The sequence below is a fragment of the Homo sapiens genome, chromosome 18 (genome assembly GCF_000001405.40).
Source record: "Homo sapiens chromosome 18, GRCh38.p14 Primary Assembly".
In the NCBI taxonomy this organism is placed as follows: Eukaryota; Metazoa; Chordata; class Mammalia; order Primates; family Hominidae; genus Homo; species Homo sapiens.
The window spans coordinates 53,729,079-53,748,094 of NC_000018.10; the positions used below are offsets into that span (position 1 = coordinate 53,729,079).

The 19,016-nt window shown below is 35.3% G+C and overlaps 1 protein-coding gene across 1 annotated transcript in view; it reads right to left on the reverse strand.

Moving 5' to 3' along the window:
- LOC124904304 (uncharacterized) overlaps positions 1-17,855 on the reverse strand; it is a 266,099-nt gene extending 248,244 nt beyond the window's left edge. Inside the window, exons 1-2 of the transcript XR_007066375.1 lie at positions 17,834-17,855; positions 14,307-14,350 (exon numbers count right to left, since the gene is read on the reverse strand). The gene's annotated coding sequence lies outside the window, so the exon portion shown is untranslated. The remainder of the gene's footprint in view (positions 1-14,306; positions 14,351-17,833) is intronic.
- Between the last annotated feature and the right edge of the window lie 1,161 nt (positions 17,856-19,016).

Sequence of the window (19,016 nt, forward strand, 5' to 3'; positions counted from 1 at the left end):
ATGTTAACTCAGTCTCAGCTTTGCTACTAACACAAGTTCACTTTCTTCATATCTGACAAGAGAAACAGATCTCTTCAAGTAGATACTTTGGTGAGGGAATGAGTTCATCAAAACCCCATCAAGTCCCCTCAAATGACAAACCCATCACTAAAACTGAAGTAGGGGTAAAAAGGGGAGGCTGTGGGCATGTTGTACACACATTAAATTCAGAGAACTTTGAAAAGAATTGTGATGGCCAGGAATGTGCAGGTCCACATAGAGTCTGAGTTTCTGTGGCAACTTGGTCTTCTAATCACCTGTTGAAAAGACTCTTATTCTTGAAACAGCCAGATAGGCATAATTAAAGGCCTATTTTTACAAATCATTTCTGAAAGTTCAATGTCCTCTTCTTTTATTCTTTTCACTACCTTCAGCTAATTTTACTGTTATATTAATTCATATTAGGCATGAATGATTACTACATATCACTATTCTAATACCATCGAGGTGGGCTGTTTTCAGATTTGGAAGTAGGTTATTACCCCTAAATAAAGTGCTAATCAGTAGGATATGCATGGATGTTAATTGTGAACAGGGAGACCCTCCCAGGGATTCTTGCCTCTTAGCAAATGCACAAATGCACATATACTCTAGTCAAGAGAATAAAAATCTGTAACTAGTTACCTGGTTTTCAAAAATATTATCAAACAGTAGATTTTCATTATATTGAGAGATTAAAATATCAACCAAAATATTTCTTTTATATTTTTTAGCCGGTAAATAGTTTTACTATTATATCTATGTATCTATCTATATTTATATATAGATAGGCATCATTTCAGATGTTTATTGGCTATCTAGAATATCTTCTTTCATGAAATACCTATTCAAGTCTTTTGTCTTTTATTCTGTTGGGTTGTTTGCCATTTGTTCTGTCAATTTATTGGAATTCTTTATATATTCAGGATATTCATTTTCTTAGTTCTATATCTTACAGATTGTAGCTTTTTCCTTTTTTGGTTCTTGTTTCTTCTCCATAGTGCCTTTAGATAAACAGAAGCTTTGACTTTATTTGAATGTAATCTAATTTAGTAATATTTTTCTTTATGGTTAGTGGGGTATTTTTTTTTATAATTCTAAATTTATTTTATTAGATTATAAGAACTAGTTAGAAACTTATTAAAACATTTTTAAAATGAAAATCAATCTATATATTTAAGGAAATCAAAACTGTAATTATTTATAAACATTGTTTAATTTTTTTTTTTTAATTATACTTTAAGTTTTAGGGTACATGTGCACATTGTGCAGGTTAGTTACATATGTATACATGTGCCATGCTGGTGCGCTGCACCCACTAACTCGTCATCTAGCATTAGGTATATCTCCCAATGCTATCCCTCCCCCCTCCCCTCTCCCCACCACAGTCCCCAGAGTGTGATATTCCCCTTCCTGTGTCCATGTGATCTCATTGTTCAATTCCCACCTATGAGTGAGAATATGCGGTGTTTGGTTTTTTGTTCTTGCGATAGTTTACTGAGAATGATGGTTTCCAATTTCATCCATGTCCCTACAAAGGACATGAACTCATCATTTTTTATGGCTGCATAGTATTCCATGGTGTATATGTGCCACATTTTCTTAATCCAGATTCTCTATAATTTGATCATGAAGATGTCCTTGGACATTAACTTTTGAAAGCTCTATAGATTTTGGTTTTAGGTTTAGGTTTTTAATTCACTTGGAATTGACATTAGTATTCATGGTTTGTACAGTACGTGCTCACAGAAATTTGAACACACACTTGCTGCTTTCTGTACTTTTTTATTTTTGTATTGGATCTCTGACCTTCCATCTTGCATCATTTTCTGTCTGCCTCAAGTACATCCATTGAGGTTTCTTTTAGTGGAAGTCTGGTGGCAAAATGTTCTCTTCAGTTTCTCTTATTGGTAAATGTCTTTATTGCACTGTCATTCTTGAAAGACATTTTTTGCTGGTTATACAATTTTAGAATGATAGCTACTTTCTCTTGGTACATCATTCCACTGTCTTTTGCCTTCCACTGTTGCTAATAAGAAGTTAGATGTAGTTCTGTCTCTTTCGAACTCAATGTCTGCTTTTAAAATCATATTTTTATATTTGTTGTTTTGACTAAACTTTTTAAAAATTTAATCTGCTTTGGGTGGGAGGCTGCATCTTGCAATTAAGAGTTTGTGCATTTATTAGTTCTTGAATTTTTTTTCTGATATTATATTTTTCAAATACTGTCTCTGCCCACTCTTTATCTTATGTCCTCTACAACTCCATTTACACATATGGTAGACATTCACACTGTATCCTCTATGCCCCTTAACCCTTTATAATATGTTCCATATTTTTATCTCCTTTTGCTAAATCATGCAAGCTTTTTAACCTTATGCCTAATTTTTAGTTTATTATTTTTGTTTCAGTTCTATAGTTTTTCCCTCTTACATTGTATTTTAATTTTTAGTGTTATTATTTGTACTTCTATTTGGTTCTTCAACAAATATATTTTATCATTCTTTATTGTTTGTCCCATTCACACAACTGTAAGTTTATCTTTCATTTCTTTAAACCTGACAAGCATAGGTATTTTATAATTTGTACCTGAAAATTATAACATCTGAAGACTTTGAAGGTCTTTTTCTGCTGGTTCTTGCTCATAGTACTTTGTTTTCCTGTGTTTGGGAAACATTCGAGGCTTAAGATCCTTTAAGAACTATATTCACGTCTTCCAATTGCCTGTGGAACTATTAGTCAACATCTATTTTCATTTAATGCAAAGTTTTATATCTCAAAGGTAACAAATTTAGGCTGCAAAACTGCATGAGGTCAAGCTGGTGTTTCCAGATGTTCACTCATGATATTTTCCCCTTCATCTCAGTCCCATATTTTGTGCTAGCTGATTTCTCCTGCAGTAGTCCTACTTGAGTGTGGCAGAGATTATTTCTGGATCACTGTTATGCACACTTTAGTTTTATGAAGTAAAGATTCATAGTATTGGGTTGATGCAAAAGTAATTGCAATTACTTTTGCACCAACCTAATAGATTTCATACCTTACATAGGCCTTGGATACTTTTTTCCACTAGACCTTGAGAGTCCTTCAAAACGCAGCCCAACTTCTCAGGCCCAGTAAATACGCTTATGAGTTTGTTTGTTTGTTTGTTTGATTGTTTCTCTGGATTTCTGCCTTTGATTAGTTTTTTCAACCTGAGAATTCCTTGCTTTCCTGCAACTCTTCAGTTTATTTAAGGTCATTAATATTTATTCAGGATTGTTCTTTCTCCAGTAGATGTCTACTCAGGTTCCTAATCCACAACATTACTAGAAATGAATGTCATAAATTGATTTCTAAATTATTTTAAACTCTGTAATTCTGCCATTCTACATTTTCATTTGGATTATTTTCTTCTATCATACTTACCCAAACTAGGCAAGTGGAAAATTGAGAGAGTTTGACAAGCAAAATGAATTTTTTTAAAAGTATTCAATAGAAATTATGTATCTAAACATTCCATTAATACTAGTAAGATTTGACTCAACTTTCTGACTTTGCATCACGTACTCTTCTTGAATATTTTCTCAATATACATTGTATAAATTACTTTAAATGTCTCCTTTTTAAGACTATTTTGCTAATTAATTAGATGAAATCTTTTGAGACTGTATTTATCTTTCTTTTAATGAACTTATGTGGTGAATACTCATGATATATTCTGACCTGATCTCACTTGTAAGGGCATACAACTTCCAAGGGTCTATTTTTATGTCTTTTTCAGTCTTTCCTTCAATATCTCCTAAAATCTGTTTGGAATAGATACGACCTTAAAATCCTCAAAACTTTTTCCTCCATGGATTCAAAGATTGATTGATTCATTCAATTACTGTTGACTGGGGAATTTAAAAGCACAAGTCTATGTTTGTAGAACCACTAAATTATCTGAGACAGGTATTCTTCTAGGTATTAAGACTGATCGATTCAGCTGTGTTCCAGTGGATACTTGGCGAAAAAAAAAAAAACCAGCAGAAATTTGAAGTTTGAAGAACATTTCACTTAAATCCTATAACCACATCCAGTGCTAGCAATATCATCAGTAATGACCAGCAAGTCAAGTGTTGGGTTAAGGAACTGTGGTCCAGGGGAAACATTCAGATGTCCTCAAATTATATCAATATTTAAACCCAGCTCAAACTACAAAGTCACAGAAATTATTTAAAACAAATTTATATAAATATCCATTCCATGCCATCCTTGATTTAAATGCCATATTCATTCATTGGAAAAAGAGGGCCCTTAATATTGTCTTTTTCTGATCTGCTTTCAGGCACCAAGAATAACACACCTACTCTAGGAGGCATGTTTGTTCTACATCCAAATCAATGATCTTCTATTCCTCAGGAAGTCAGGATTCTTTCATATCTTCCTGAAAAAGGTGAAGTTCCAAAGAGGCAGGATTGCTAATCTTTGCAGGTCCTTGCAGACCCTCTTCAATTCCAGATAAAAATGTCTTCTTATAGGCAATGAGGCAGAAAGAAATTAGGGAAGTCAGAGAGATACCTGTGACCAAAATTTTGACCTTTTCTAGTTAATTTGGTTTCTCTTTCATAACCCAGTAATATACCAACAAAATGGGGAAAAAAGATAATTGTCCGGCCATTGCAATCATTTGCCCAAAGGTAAACAGAGAAACAGTAGTTAGTATATCATTTATATTAAAAAGCAATGTGTTATTTATCTCCTTCCCTAAATAGAAGTCGAGCTAAAAAGAATTACGCTATGGTATAATTTCAGCATTTCCATCCCAATGCTTAGGAGTGGAAAGTCAGTTTCCAAGGAGCTTAAAAAATACCTTTATTATAAATCTTCATTTCTTAGATTAAAGCTCTACTTGCTCTTTCTTGTATTTGCATTCTTATTGACATTAGAGTTGGAAAAGTAATATATGCCTAGTATGTGACATTAATCCTCATGTAACAGAGATCCATGAAGATAAAATTTATCTTGATAAAGTTTGCAGCCTCACCTGCCAGGTTTTCGAGCTGCTTAATGCAACCACATGCATCTCTCTGCATTCTTAGGATTTCAATAAAGGTTTGTGATAAATGGGAAGCTGAATGGAAGCCTCCTTCCAAAATTATGCTTGTAAAACATTGGGGAATCTTAATCCCTAAAGGATAATTATAAATATTTAAAATGTATTCTTGCTTGTGCTCACTTTCTGATGTTTCTTGTAAGACTCTTTATATAAAAGATTATTCCTATACTAGCTTTTGAAATGTCATTTTAAGTTTCTACTCTGTTTGTAAACTAGGTATATAAGTTTCCTAGGACTATTGTAACAAAGTACTACAAACTTAGTGGCTGAAGACAACAGAAATGTATTTTCTCACAGTTTGAGAGGCCAGAAGTCCAAAATCAAAGTGTTGTCAAGGTTGTTTCATTCTGGAAGCTCTGAGGGACAATCTGTTCCATGTCTCTCTCTTAGTTTCTGGTGGTTGCTGGCAGTGTTTGGTGTTCCTTGGCTATTGGGTGCATCACTTTCAATCTCTCTGTCTTTACATGACCTTCTCTCTGAGTGTCAATGTCTAAATTTCTCTCTTAAGGACAAAAGTCATAGGATTAGGATCTATCCTAATGCAATATGAATGTGTCTTACCTTGACTACATCTGCAAAGGCTCTATTTCCTAAGGTCACATTCTAAGGTTTCCAAAGAATGTGAATTTTGGGAGGATACTGTTCAAGTCAGTTTACCAGATAAAACCAATTTCATTTTCAGAAACAAAGGATTAAGAAGAGCACTCAGATAGTTAGAAGAAGACCCACGACTAAACACCAAACTTTTGCCCTGTATTCAGAAGCTGCCTTACTCTGAAGGACTTTTGGAGCTTGTCTTCTCTTCTATTTTCAAATGCAAACATCTACCCAAACAGTCTGTTAAAATCACTTCAGCTGTTTATTCTTTCCCCATTTTTTAACATTTCCCCCTATGTTTCAGGAGTTTCTAAATCCATAACTCTCATTCACCAAATCTCCCAAAATGACAACAAAGAAAACCACTTTATAGCTCTCCTCTATAGCATGTGATAAAACCTAGAGGAACTTCAATGCAAATGAGGTGCTTGCCATTTTATGATACTGATTTTATATACATATATGTGTATTTGTTTGTTTTCCTCCTTTGGCACTTTTAAACTTATTTTATTCATCAAATAGATTTTGGCAGCAAAATCTTCAAAGATCATGCCAGCAAAAACCTGGCCAAATTTAAGATTGAGGTTGCATCACGCTATATATTAACACACCTGTGAATTGTCCAACACAGCTCCCAGAAGCATAAAATACTCTGTCAGGAAAAATAAGTTATTTTATTATACTTTTGGTGTAACTAGCCATAGCCAAAGACTTTTCAACACAAACTGAAATCAGCAAGCGATTTTATTTTAGTTTTTTGTTGTTTCCATATGCCAACTTAGTTCCTTTCTTACCTGTGGTCTCTTTGTTCATGTGTGGATGTATTAACCCTGTAACTCATATCCACAGGAGATATTCTGCAATACTTCACTCACATAGACACCAGCAATACACCACTGCAGCATCTTCTCTGTAGCAATTATTTTATAAATCACTTATTTAAAAGGGTTTGGACTAGGGAAACCAACTTTCCCGTGGCTATTATATGACTCATGTTTTAGTACATTTACTTTTTTGGCTAACAATACAGTTTAAAAGAAGTAAATGGATTCTTTTTAAATAACTGATACTGATTTTGCTTTTTATGTCTCATCTCTAGACTATGCAATTTATTTCTTCTCTCCCAGCACTGAAACAACTTCTAGCACTCACATTTATATGTTTTTGTACACAATATCATTTGGTAATCAAGTATTCTAAGAAGCTAGCTTTCTGAAGCATAAAATGGCTACATAAATACTGATCTGTGACCTGTAACATTCAATTTCAAATCTTTTATTCAGAAATAATGTCCTAACAGGTAACTCAAAATTGAATTGTATGCATTGAGAAATATTAGACATGTAAAGTGAATCTAAGAAGGTTCATTCATCCTGCATTGTAAGTGAAAATAATAGCTTATCTTTTAAAATAAATCTTTATTCTTAAATTTTGTCTTTAGAATTCATTATTATTATTATTATTATATTATTATTATTATTATTATTATTATTATTATTATTTTGAGATGGGGTCTCACTCTGCCACCCAGGCTGGAGTTCAGTGGTGAGATCTCGGCTTACTTAAACCTCCGCCTCCTGGGCTCAAGCGATCCTCCCACCTCAGCCCCTTGAGTAGCGTGTGCCACCAAGCCCAGTTAATTTTTTGTATTTTTGGTAGAGATGGGGTTTCACAATGTTGCCCAGGCTGGTCTGAAACTCCTGAGTTCAAGTGATCCGCCCACCTTCGCCTCCCAAAGTGTTGAGATTACAGGTGTGAGCTATTGTGCCCAGCTAATTTATTGTATTTTGGGTAGAGATGGGTTTTTGGCATGTTGCCCAGGCTAGTCTTGAACTCCTAAGCTCAAGTGATCAGCACACCTCGGCCTCCTAAAGTGTTGGAATTATAGGTGTGAGCCACGGTGCCCAGCCAATTCTTATTCTTTTAATTGATACATAATTGTACATGGATGTGGGGTACATGGTGATGTTTCTACATATACAATGGACAGTGGTGTAAACTAAAAATAAAATCCTAAGCCTCAACCAACTGAACAGACCCCTCTTGGCCAAGAGGACCCCAGAAAAAATCTAAAACCTGAATTCTTGGCCATGATGGGAATGGAAGTGGGATTTGCCTGGTTATACTCTCTCCCTTTCAGAGTTCAGGCACAACAACTGATCAGCATTAACACTAAAACAGAGACCATAAAACTAAAAAGAACTGATTCTCTGAATTATAAATAAGACCTAAGGCCATGCAAGACAAGGGTCAAGTCACAAATGCAGACCATCAGTTTGGCTACGTAGCATCCTTATCTTGTTAAAAATAATTTCAACTTTTATTTTAGATTCACTGTGTTAATGTGCTTATAATGTTGGCCCCAGCTGCATCTATGTTGCTGCAAAGGACATGATTTTGTTCTTTTCATGGCTGTGTAGTATTCCATGGCATATATGTACCTCATTTTCTTTATCCAATCCACTGCTGATGGGCACCTAGGTTGATTCCATGTCTTTGCTATTTTGCATAGTACTGTGATGAACATACGAGTACATGTGTCTCTTTGGTAGAATCATATATTTTCCTTTGGGTATATAACCAGAAATGGGACTGCTGGGACAAATGGTAGTTCTAGGTTTGTGACAGGTAACTAAATCTTGGGACCCCAAACTCATTAAGCCAAAGGGAAAAGTTAAGCTGGGAACTGGGTCATGCAAACCTGCCTCCCCCTTTCGGTTCCTAAATAAGATGGCTACAAGACGAAAAGCTACACTCTTCCTCCCTATTTTTCCCACAAGGAAATTCCTACAGAGCTGCAAGATCTTTACCCTAAGGTGTTTCTATTAATATTTCACCATGGCAATGTAAGTTGATAACTTATCTTTACAGGTGCAGTCACCCCCACTGCCCAAACACAAATGCATATCTGATTTTTCCCCTGCCCCATTTTTCTACGTTATCTTTTGTAAAAAGGCAGATTCCCCACATTTTTCCTCTGCCCCATTTGTTTATGCCATCTTTTGTAAAAAAATACAGATTCACTGAGCCAGACAAAGGCAAGAATGACTATTTTTCCCTATCCTCCTCTCACATGAAAATTGTGTACTTCTCAATACCCTACCCTTTCCCCTTTAAATTTGGAGCCCTCAAAATCATCGTCAGAGAAAGGCATAGACCTGTCTCCCAGGTGTACATCCTTAACTTTGGCAAATAAAACTCCTAAAACGATTGAGACTTTTCTCATCATTTTTCTCGATTGACAAGTTCTTTGAGAAATCTTCAAACTTCTTTTCACAGCGGCTGAACTAGTTTGCATTCACAGCAACACTGTATAAGTTTTCTTACACAACCTCACCTGCATCTGTTGTTTTTTGTCTTTTTAAGAACTGCCATTCTGACTGCTGTGAGATGGTATCTCATTGTGGTTATGATTTGCATTTCACTGATGATTAGTGATGCTGAGTATTTTTCTCATGTTCATTGGCTGCTTGTATGTCTTTTGACAAATATCTGTTCACATCTTTTCTGACTTTTAATGGGTTTGTTTTTGTTTTTTGCTCGTTGAATTATTTAAGTTCCTTATAGATTCTGCATATTAGACCTTCCTTTCACCATATCCAAAAAAATTAACTCAAGAAGGAGTGAACATTTAAATGTAAGACCTCATACTATAATAATCTTAGAAGAAAACCTTGGAAACCCCATGCTGGATACTGGCCTTTGGGAAAAAAAATTATGACTAAGTCCTTAAAAGTAATTGCAACAAAACAAAAATTGGCAAGTGGGACCTAATCAAATGAAAGAGCTCCTGCACAGCAAAAGAAACTATCAACAGAGTAAACAGACAACCTTAGAAATATAAGAAAATATTCACAAACTATGTATTCTACAAAGGTCTAATATCTAATATCCAGCATCCTTATATTAATCTAAAACATTTCTTTCTATTGGCTCCAAGTTTTAGACAGAATCTTACTCCTTTAACCAATTGAAAATTAAAGAATCTCTGAATCCACCTGTAACCTATAAGCTTCCACTTCAAGATGTCCAGCCTTTAGAGGCCAATCCAACATACACATTCCACATATTGATTTTGGTCCCTGCCTGTAACTCCTGCCTCCCTAAAATGTGTAAAACCAAACTGTAGCTCAACCACCTTGGGACAACTTATTCAAGACTCTTTGGGTTTATGTTTTCCCCAGGCCACAGTCACTCATACTGACTTGGAAGAAGCCTCTTTAAAATATTTTGCAGAGTTTGGTTTTTCCATTAACAGTGGTCAGATCAGGATAATTAGCATATCTATGATAATTAGCACATCAAACATTTATCTTTTTTTGTGTTGGGAACATTCAATATCCTCTCTTCTAGCTATTTGAATATATATAATATATATCTCTAGATTTCAAAAAATAATTTCTTACATTAGAGCAAATAGTAGAAGGTTAAAGAAGAAACCAATAGGCATGCATTCTGAAATTAACAAAATTTTTTCCATGACAACTTATGTAATCTTGCTTGGGCATCTAAAGAAATACAGGTTCAAATAAACTGAACATACAGTCCATACAAGCATATGTAGGGTCAACTTGTCATTAAATCATGAGGCGTATTTTCTGTGGTCCTTTGGCCCTGTTGCAAGTACAGAGTGTCCTCATACCATCCCTCTTTACTTTCATAATGCCCAGGATGCTGAGAACACTAGACTTGGGCACACTTCTATTTTCTACCACCAAAATAAAAGTTATCTTCCCATCTCCATGAATCCCTCTTTGCTTTAAAGAAATTGATAGCTCAATTTTTAATATAAAGTTTATAAATCAAAATTATTTAACATCTTTCACGTAACATGTAACTAGTTTTAGAGGCTTCCAAAGCCTCAATTGACTCTAAAATTATTGTATCCTGTGAAAATCCCAGGCAGCAGGGTATGGCCAGCAGCAAGACACTCCAAGACAAGGGGTCTTAGGAAGTGCGTCTTTATTGGATGTGTGAGGGAGGTCTTGCATATTTACCACGTTTTATTTCCGTATGTACTTAGTCAGGTCAAGTGCAAACAATTCACCCACTTCCAGAATATTCCTTCTTATATCTGTAATAGAAACTATGCAACTCAACCACTTACCCAACCCTTTGCCTCCTCAGACTGTGGACAAGAATAGGCCTTGGCTAAGGACTAAAGCAAAGTCTTTCAAAAGTAAATGTATCACTGGGTGTTAGGGAGTACGTATTATATGGTCTATGGGTCAAGATTGGGCATAATTTTAAATGCCAGCAATTCACGAATCATACCATTTATAAGGTAGAAGGAAAGAACTGCAAATGAAAGAAACTAGTACTGCTCTGCACAATAAAGTAAAATACAATTTTCACTGGTGTGAGGATTAACTGAGTTAATATAAGCAAAATACACACAGCCCAGAAGTACTCAGTAAGACAATTGCTATCACAAAAAAAAAAGTTACTGCTAAGTAATTGGAAAAATAAAGGAGCATGTGACTGACACATTCCGAAAGAGAGAAATGAGACTATGTGCACCCTGCATGGTTCTAGAGAAACTGGAAAACCAAAGCAAGTCTATAAAGACTCTTTTACTTGTCCACTGTGCATGAATGGTAAATTCCTAGCAATGAAAATGTAGGGTCCAAAGAAGTATGCATCTTCTAATCACTTTTAAAAGATATTGCTGAAGCTTTCTCCAAAGAAATTACACCAATTTTCACTGCCACTGGAATGAATAAATGTATCTGAAACTCCACACTGTAAATATATTTAAAATTACTTTATATATATACTATATTAAGTAAAATTATATTGTAACTAAGCTGTTATATATAGCATGTTTTATTTACATTAAATATAACCATTGTTATAATTTTCGCCAATATAATGGGTGCAAAATTACCTTGTTATGACTTGAATTTTTTTTAATTGTATTTGAGGGCGCTCATTTTTTCATCAGCTGCCAGTTCAAGTTTAGAAGAATGATCACAACCTCCCCCTCCCCACTTGATACAAAGAGGCCTAGAGAGAGGAAGAGGGTACGTTTGGGGGACCCAGAGTTTGTGACTAGGCAACTATATCTGTCCTTGCTGGAAAGGGGAGACCCCTCTTGCTATTTTGATTGTGTTGAAGCCAGAAGAGGTAATTGGGGTGCTGCTCCCTGGCTGGGTGGTTGCTGGACCATAACCTGTACCCTTTGGTAGAAAAGGCAGAGATAACACCTGGCTGGCCCTCCACCGCTACAGGTAGCTTCTGGAACTAACCAAGTCAAGCCTATTTTAATGGATATAATAGCAATAACCTAATTAGTTTAGTTACTAAAAATCATTTTAAAATTATAAAATTAGACTGAATTATCTATCTTGTGGTGAAGAAATTTTGACAAAGCAAATGGACATACTTAATTTTTGGAAAGAAACATTTCTCATTCCTTGAGACTCCAATGTTTTGCCTATGCACGACTATATTTGCATATCTAGATATGTATAGTTTATACATATCTAGATATGTATAGTTTATACATATCTAGATATGTATAGTTTATACATATCTAGATATGTATAGTTTATACATATCTAGATATGTATAGTTTATACATATCTAGATATGTATAGTTTATACATATCTAGATATGTATAGTTTATACATATCTAGATATGTATAAACATGTGAACCTATATGTGTGTTTATATGCATGTATCAATGATATCCTCAATGAACAGAGCAATACTTTGTTCAATACAGCCCAGTTCCTTTGTCCATTGGACAATCACCTTTATCATCTCATGCAGTTCTATATTTGCTATTCTAGCAGCATCTATGGCCTCCCTAGAAACATCTAATTGCTACCTCACTATCACAAGTTTCAATCTGAAATCAAAAGCTCAAAAGTTCCTTTGAAGCCTTGCTGGAAGTCAGACAGTACACACTGAATGTATATGTGTTAAAATTCTGAAATAATTTTATACCAATTGGGAAATATTTGCTGTTTGAATTTTCTGTGTTGTCCATCCCACCCACAACAAGCCTCCTATGATTCCCAGAACTTTCTCATAATCCACCAAACAATGGGTTAATGCCTACTCCCAGAACAACAGCCATTACAATTACTCACAGTGTTAAACATTTTAAATATCACCCCTCTTTGATAGATTCTATACAGCAGGATCTAAATCAAGTTTATCCAACCAATGGCCTGTGGGCCGCATGTGGCCCAGGATAGCTATGAATGGAACCCAACACAAATTCGTAAACTTTCTTAAAACCTGATGAGACTTTTTTTGTGATTTTTTAAGAAATCTCTTCAGCTATTGTTAGTGTTAGTGTATTTTATGTGTGGCCCAAGACAATTCTTCTTCTTCCAATGTGGCCCACAGAAGCTAAAAGATCGGACACCCCGACTCTAGATTATTAGAAATAAACATTCACATGAACAAAGATCCCTTCATATTCTAGCTTAAGCTTCAAAACCAAAAGTTATTTGCAATTTTAGAGGTTTATCAAAATCTCTCCTTTAAATAACTATCTAGAGTTAAATAATTTGTGTTTTTCTTTTTGAAAGGCGTTACCATTCTGAAAGTAGAGTAAACTACTTTCACTGAACTGATCTTCAGCCAGTTTTGGTGTTCATTAAAAAAATTTACAGTGTTATGCATTCAAATATGGTAACTGAGCCTTTAGGTTCCCACGGCAACTTGATCATTTCAGTAGAAAACTTTTCTTTTCTTTCTTTTTTAACTTATAGGTATGCCTGTTCTCTAACAGTTTCACTTAGCTTATCATTTCAGTTATTTCCAACCGAGATATCCACCTTTGGGAATTCACATATTCTGATACATTCCCAGGTGGCTATTTATAAAAACACAAGAAACATCATGCTAACATTACCAAGTCCTGAGAAAACTGGTCTTGCATTATGTCATTCTAAGGAGAAACACCATCTTTCTCTCCATATCACGGACTTTTATTTTACATCCCTGGAGAAATTTCATACACTTGGCAGGTAACTCACAGAAGCTTTATTGGTATACCGCAAATACCTAAGTATTGGTGGTCCAAATGCCCCAGTGCCACATATAAATAGACAAACGAGTTTTCTTTGTGATGAGTTTATCACCCAATACTTGGTTCCTAAACTTAGATCCAACTTAATTGGTTACATCAAAGTCATCTGGGGTCTTTGTTAAAACAGATTCCCAGGCTTCTCTCCAATAACTGAATTGGAATATTCAAGAATGGATGCAAGAAATCTGAATTTTTAAGAAGTACTCTGTAGGATGTTCATGCCCAGCCAGTCTGGAAAATTCATAACCTATTAATTAATAAATCATTCACGAAACTGGCATGATGGTTTTTAATTAACAACTTGGTTGACTGACAAATGTTACAATCAAATACAAATGGAAAAACCAGAATATTGACCAAAAGGGTTAGCACAAAACTGTCATAAATATCTTACTGTCAGCAATGCAACATACTGATATTTTCTATTATGTTTTATTTCCTTTTAAAAATGTGTTCATTACAAACCACTTCATTTCATTTCCTATTTAATAAATCTCATCCACAATTTTAAACACAATGACCTAAGGACATTTTTCAAACATGCATGGCTGACCCAGCCTACCTGACTCTGTAGGATCCAGGTGATGCCTCGGCGAATAGGTGTGCCTGAAAGATAAACCCAAAACAGTGCTGTCATCAGACCACAGGAGATCAATCTATTGTTGAAATATTAGATAGTGAGAAATCACAACAAAATGAATTTGGCACCATGTTCCAAATAGAGATTTCCCTCTTATAAGGACCAGACTACCAGAATCCATGCAGCAACAAAATCTCTTCTCTATATAGTGGGGAATAGACACTGACTACTTTTATATTTGGGGGTATCTCAATTCTTTGTTTCCCGTATTTCATCTTCTAATTGAATGCAATAAAATCAATTAGATTATAACATCTAAGTAACTTTTCAGTTTTACTTTCTAAAATTATAAGCATCTTATTGTAATTGGTGCTTAGAGTTTTTTCCAATGTTAGATTCAATCATTAGTAAATAATCTTTTTAATTACTTCCAGAAATTATTAATCACATCTATTCATGAGAACAGGCCTATATCCATTGTGTTTATTATTGAGTTTACAATGCTTAGAATTGTCATTGCTTCTACAAGTAGTCCCTGATTTACAATGGTTCAACTCATGAATTTTTGATCTTAGGATGGTGTATAACTGTCACTATTTTGACACAGTATATGGCATTCAATAAATAACATGAGATATTCCACACTTTATTGTAAAAAGTCTTTGTGTTCTATGAGTTTGTCTAACTGTAGGCTAATGTAAATGTTCTGAGCACATTTAAGGTAGACTAGGGTATTAGTCCATTTTCACACTGCTATAAAAAACTGTCAGAGACCGATTAATTTATAAAATAAAGAGGTTTAATTAACTCATAGTTCAGCGTGGCTGGGGAGACCTCAGGAAACTTACAATCATGGCGAAACGTAAAGACAAAGCAAAGCACCTCCTTCACAAGGTGGAAGGAAGGAGAATAAATGCAGGAGGAACTACCACTTATGAAACCATCAGATCTTGTGAGAACTCACTCATCATGAGAACAGCAAGGGGGAAACTTGCCCACATGATTCAATTGCCTCTGCCTGGTCTCTCCCTTGGCACGTGGGGATTATGGGGCTTATGGAGATAACAACTCAAGATGAGATTCTGGGTGAGGATACAGCCAAACCATATCAGCTAGGCTAAGCTGTAATGTTTGGTAGGTTATGTATATGAAATGCATTTTCAACTTACAATATTTTTAACTCACTATGGGTTTATCAGGACACATAACCCTATCATAAGTCAAGAAGTACCTGTATTAGGCATTAATAAGTATCTGAGTACATTGTACCTACAGATTTCATTGGTTTAATTCTAAGAAGTTAATCTCCCTTACATCTAAGTTAGTCTCCCTTTCATCTAAGTTCTTAGAGGGGACCATGGCATTTTTCATATATGCAAAACATTAAGCATTTAATTGGATTGACTCTAAATAAATTAGCAAATAGGAAAAAATACTGAAGTCAGTAAGAGAGTCAGGTATAAAACATATGCACATTCCATCTCTTAATTTGTTGCTATATTGGGATAAACATAGACAATGAGATTAAATGATTTTATAGAGACATTTAGATAAAAATTCACAACATTTAGAAATACTTCCTTTCCAACATATTTAATAGAAAATAAAGCAAAACAAAACAAGCAAATGATAAGGAAGGAGTAACCTAAATGTTCAATAATAGAAGATAGGTTATGTAAACTATGGTAAATTCTACTCAATGTAACTTTATGTAGTTAATATTTGTCAAGGATTTGACAAAATTAAAAGGTATGATATAAAATTTAAAACATGTTATTTTACAACTATGCTAAATAAAGCACTTACTTAAGGAAGAAAAACATGAAAATAATGGTTATGCTGGGATGAAGTGAGAGACTACATATTTCTAAAATTATTTGCAAATCATTAGAAAATATTTGTTAATTACCATGTCAGCCTCCATTCTCCATTCCTACAGGACCTTGGACTTTCAAGCCAGGTGGCTAAGGCTGAAATGACCTTCTCCCAGTTCCAGGAAGAGGTCTTGCTTAACTTAAGTCTACAGCATATTCCGTCCCTCTAGCCAGAGTTATTGGTTCAGGAATAAACATACTCACTCACAATTATATCATGAGGGTTAGTTTTTATAATCTTGTGCTTGGTACCAATTGTCGTAACCTACTTTTTCCTGAAAGCATACCCTGAAGCAAGAATTAAAGTGATAACATTTTATTTGTGAGGTGCAAGCCCTTGGCAGGAAAAGAAGAGGGAAAAAAAAAAAAGGAAAGTAAGCATAAGAAAATCAACGTGATTGCCACACTACCACTTCACAAAACGTAAGATGCACAGCAGGTCACTCAGCAAGCCAGAGGAATAAGGACTATGCCAAGAAGGACTTACTCTTGGCAACACTTCAAGAGATATGACTCTTGTTGACTATCGTGTCACTGCAGCAACTCATAAAGTGGTGGCAAGTACAGTCATGCATTCCATTCTGCATCTTGTCTTAGTTCCCCTTCCCCCTATCCATACCCCAACTGTTGTGGAATTCTGCCCTCCCCCCAAAATATTAACATATCAATATTTGCCTCACCTTTTCCTCTCAAAAGGATCAGCCTAAGACAGATAGTTTTAAAGATTTTTCCCAATTTACCTTCTTCCCTCATTTCCTATGTTGATTGGATGGGGACAGGGAGAGAAGCTGAGTTATGATCAGCACTAAGATTCCTATGTTTTTATTTTTTCTTGTCTGAGACATTTTGAAATTTATTGCATTGATAGTAAACATTGCTAGCCCTTGCTTGTCTATGGTTCATTGTTTCCTGTGTTATGTTATTATTGTTTTTTGTGCCTACTGGTTCAGAAAGAGTGAGACTATGATCTGGCATGACTCTGCCAATTTTACCCCGAAGTGCCATCTTATAAATTTTTAAGCAGAGGATGAAATACTTAGCTTAAGTCTGCAGCATATTCTGTCCTCATAGCTGGAATTATTGGTTCAGGAATACACTCACTCAAAACTGATCTCGATGGATTATTTTTGGCCAGCATACAGGGATAGGATACACTAGACTATGCATAATCAGACAGCCCACTTTTCTGTCAGACTTCCTCTTGTTAATTACATGAACTCCCAATGTTTTGAGAATATCAATTTTTAGTTTTATGGCAAACATGTGTACCACTGTATTCATTGAACTTACTTATTTTATGACATTCAAAATTTTCCAATCTTATGCAGTTAGATCTACTAATTTTTATGGGAATTTTTATCATTGCTTTTTACTTTTTTCATATTTCAGGGTAAGTGTAATAGGCAGAACTCTGGCCCTCATGACCTTTACTGTTTGGTATTATACCTGTGGGTATGTTACGTTGGTAAAAGAAATTTTGGCCTGGCGTGGTGGCTCACACCTGTAATCCCAGCAATTTGGGAGGCAGAGGCAGGCGGATCATGAGGTCAGGAGATCAAGACCATCCTGGCTAACACAGTGAAACCCCACCTCTACTAAAAATACAAAAAATTAGCCGGGCGTGGTGGCGGGCACCTGTAGTCCCAGCTACTTGGGAGGCTGAGGCAGGAGGATGGTGTGAACCCAGGAGGCGGAGGTTGCAGTGAGCCGAGATTGTGCCACTGCACTACAGCCTGGGCGAGAGAGAGAGAGAGAGACTCCGTCTCAAAAAAAAAAAAAAAGAAAAAAAAGAAATTTTGCAGATGTAATTAAGGTTACTAATCAGTTAACCTTAAAATGAAGAGATTATTTTGGATTATCTAGTTAGCCCCAATATAATTACATGAGCCCTAAAAAGCAGGGTAATGTGGCAAAAAAAGGAAGCCAATGAGATTTGAAGCATGAAAAGGACTTGACTCACTGTCGATGCCTTGCAGATGGAAATGGCAATGTGAAAAGCATGAGAAGAAAGTAAATTCTGACAACATCCTGAATGAGCTTTCAAACAGATTCTTTCCCAGAGCCTCTAGTAATGAACACAGTTCTGCCAACACCTTGATTTGGGCCTCATAAGACCATGTGCAGAGAAAACAGCCAAGCACACTGTGCCTGGACTTCTGATCCATGGAAACTATGAGCTAATAAGTGGCTATTATATTAAGCCACTGTTTGTAGTAATTTGTTATAGTCACAACAGAAAACTCATACAATGAGTCAAGTTTATATATAAACTAGGAAAACGGAGGGGCTGTAAATCAAAATACAAAAGCCAGGAAAGACACCAATATCCTGAGTCTTTCTTATAGAATAATACTCTTCCCTTCAATTTAAAAGAAAATTTGATGAAATTTTATACTAAATGATAAAAACTTACTGGCAGATTCTAGTAGGAAAGCCACACAGAGGTCAATGAAACATTATTCTTTACTTGAGAATGTTTTGCCTCATCATCAGATAAAAATCAAGCAAGTTTGGAGAAGGGAAGAGTATTGTTTGAATCTTTTTTTCTGTGACTGGTTACAGCTAAGCAATGAGCCATGGGAGACAATAACTTTTGATTATACAGAAGTCATTTGTTTTAGGTTTAGATTACATGATTGCTCCCACAACTTGCCCAGTCTTTATCAGGAAAATTGTGAGTTTCCATGGCAATGGAAAACATGGCACAAAATTGCAAATGAACTCATGCTTCTACCATAGAAAACTGTTCCTGGAAACAACTAAGATGACACTGGCAATTGCTATAAAAAAGGAAAGTAAATCTCTTTTGGATGTGTTT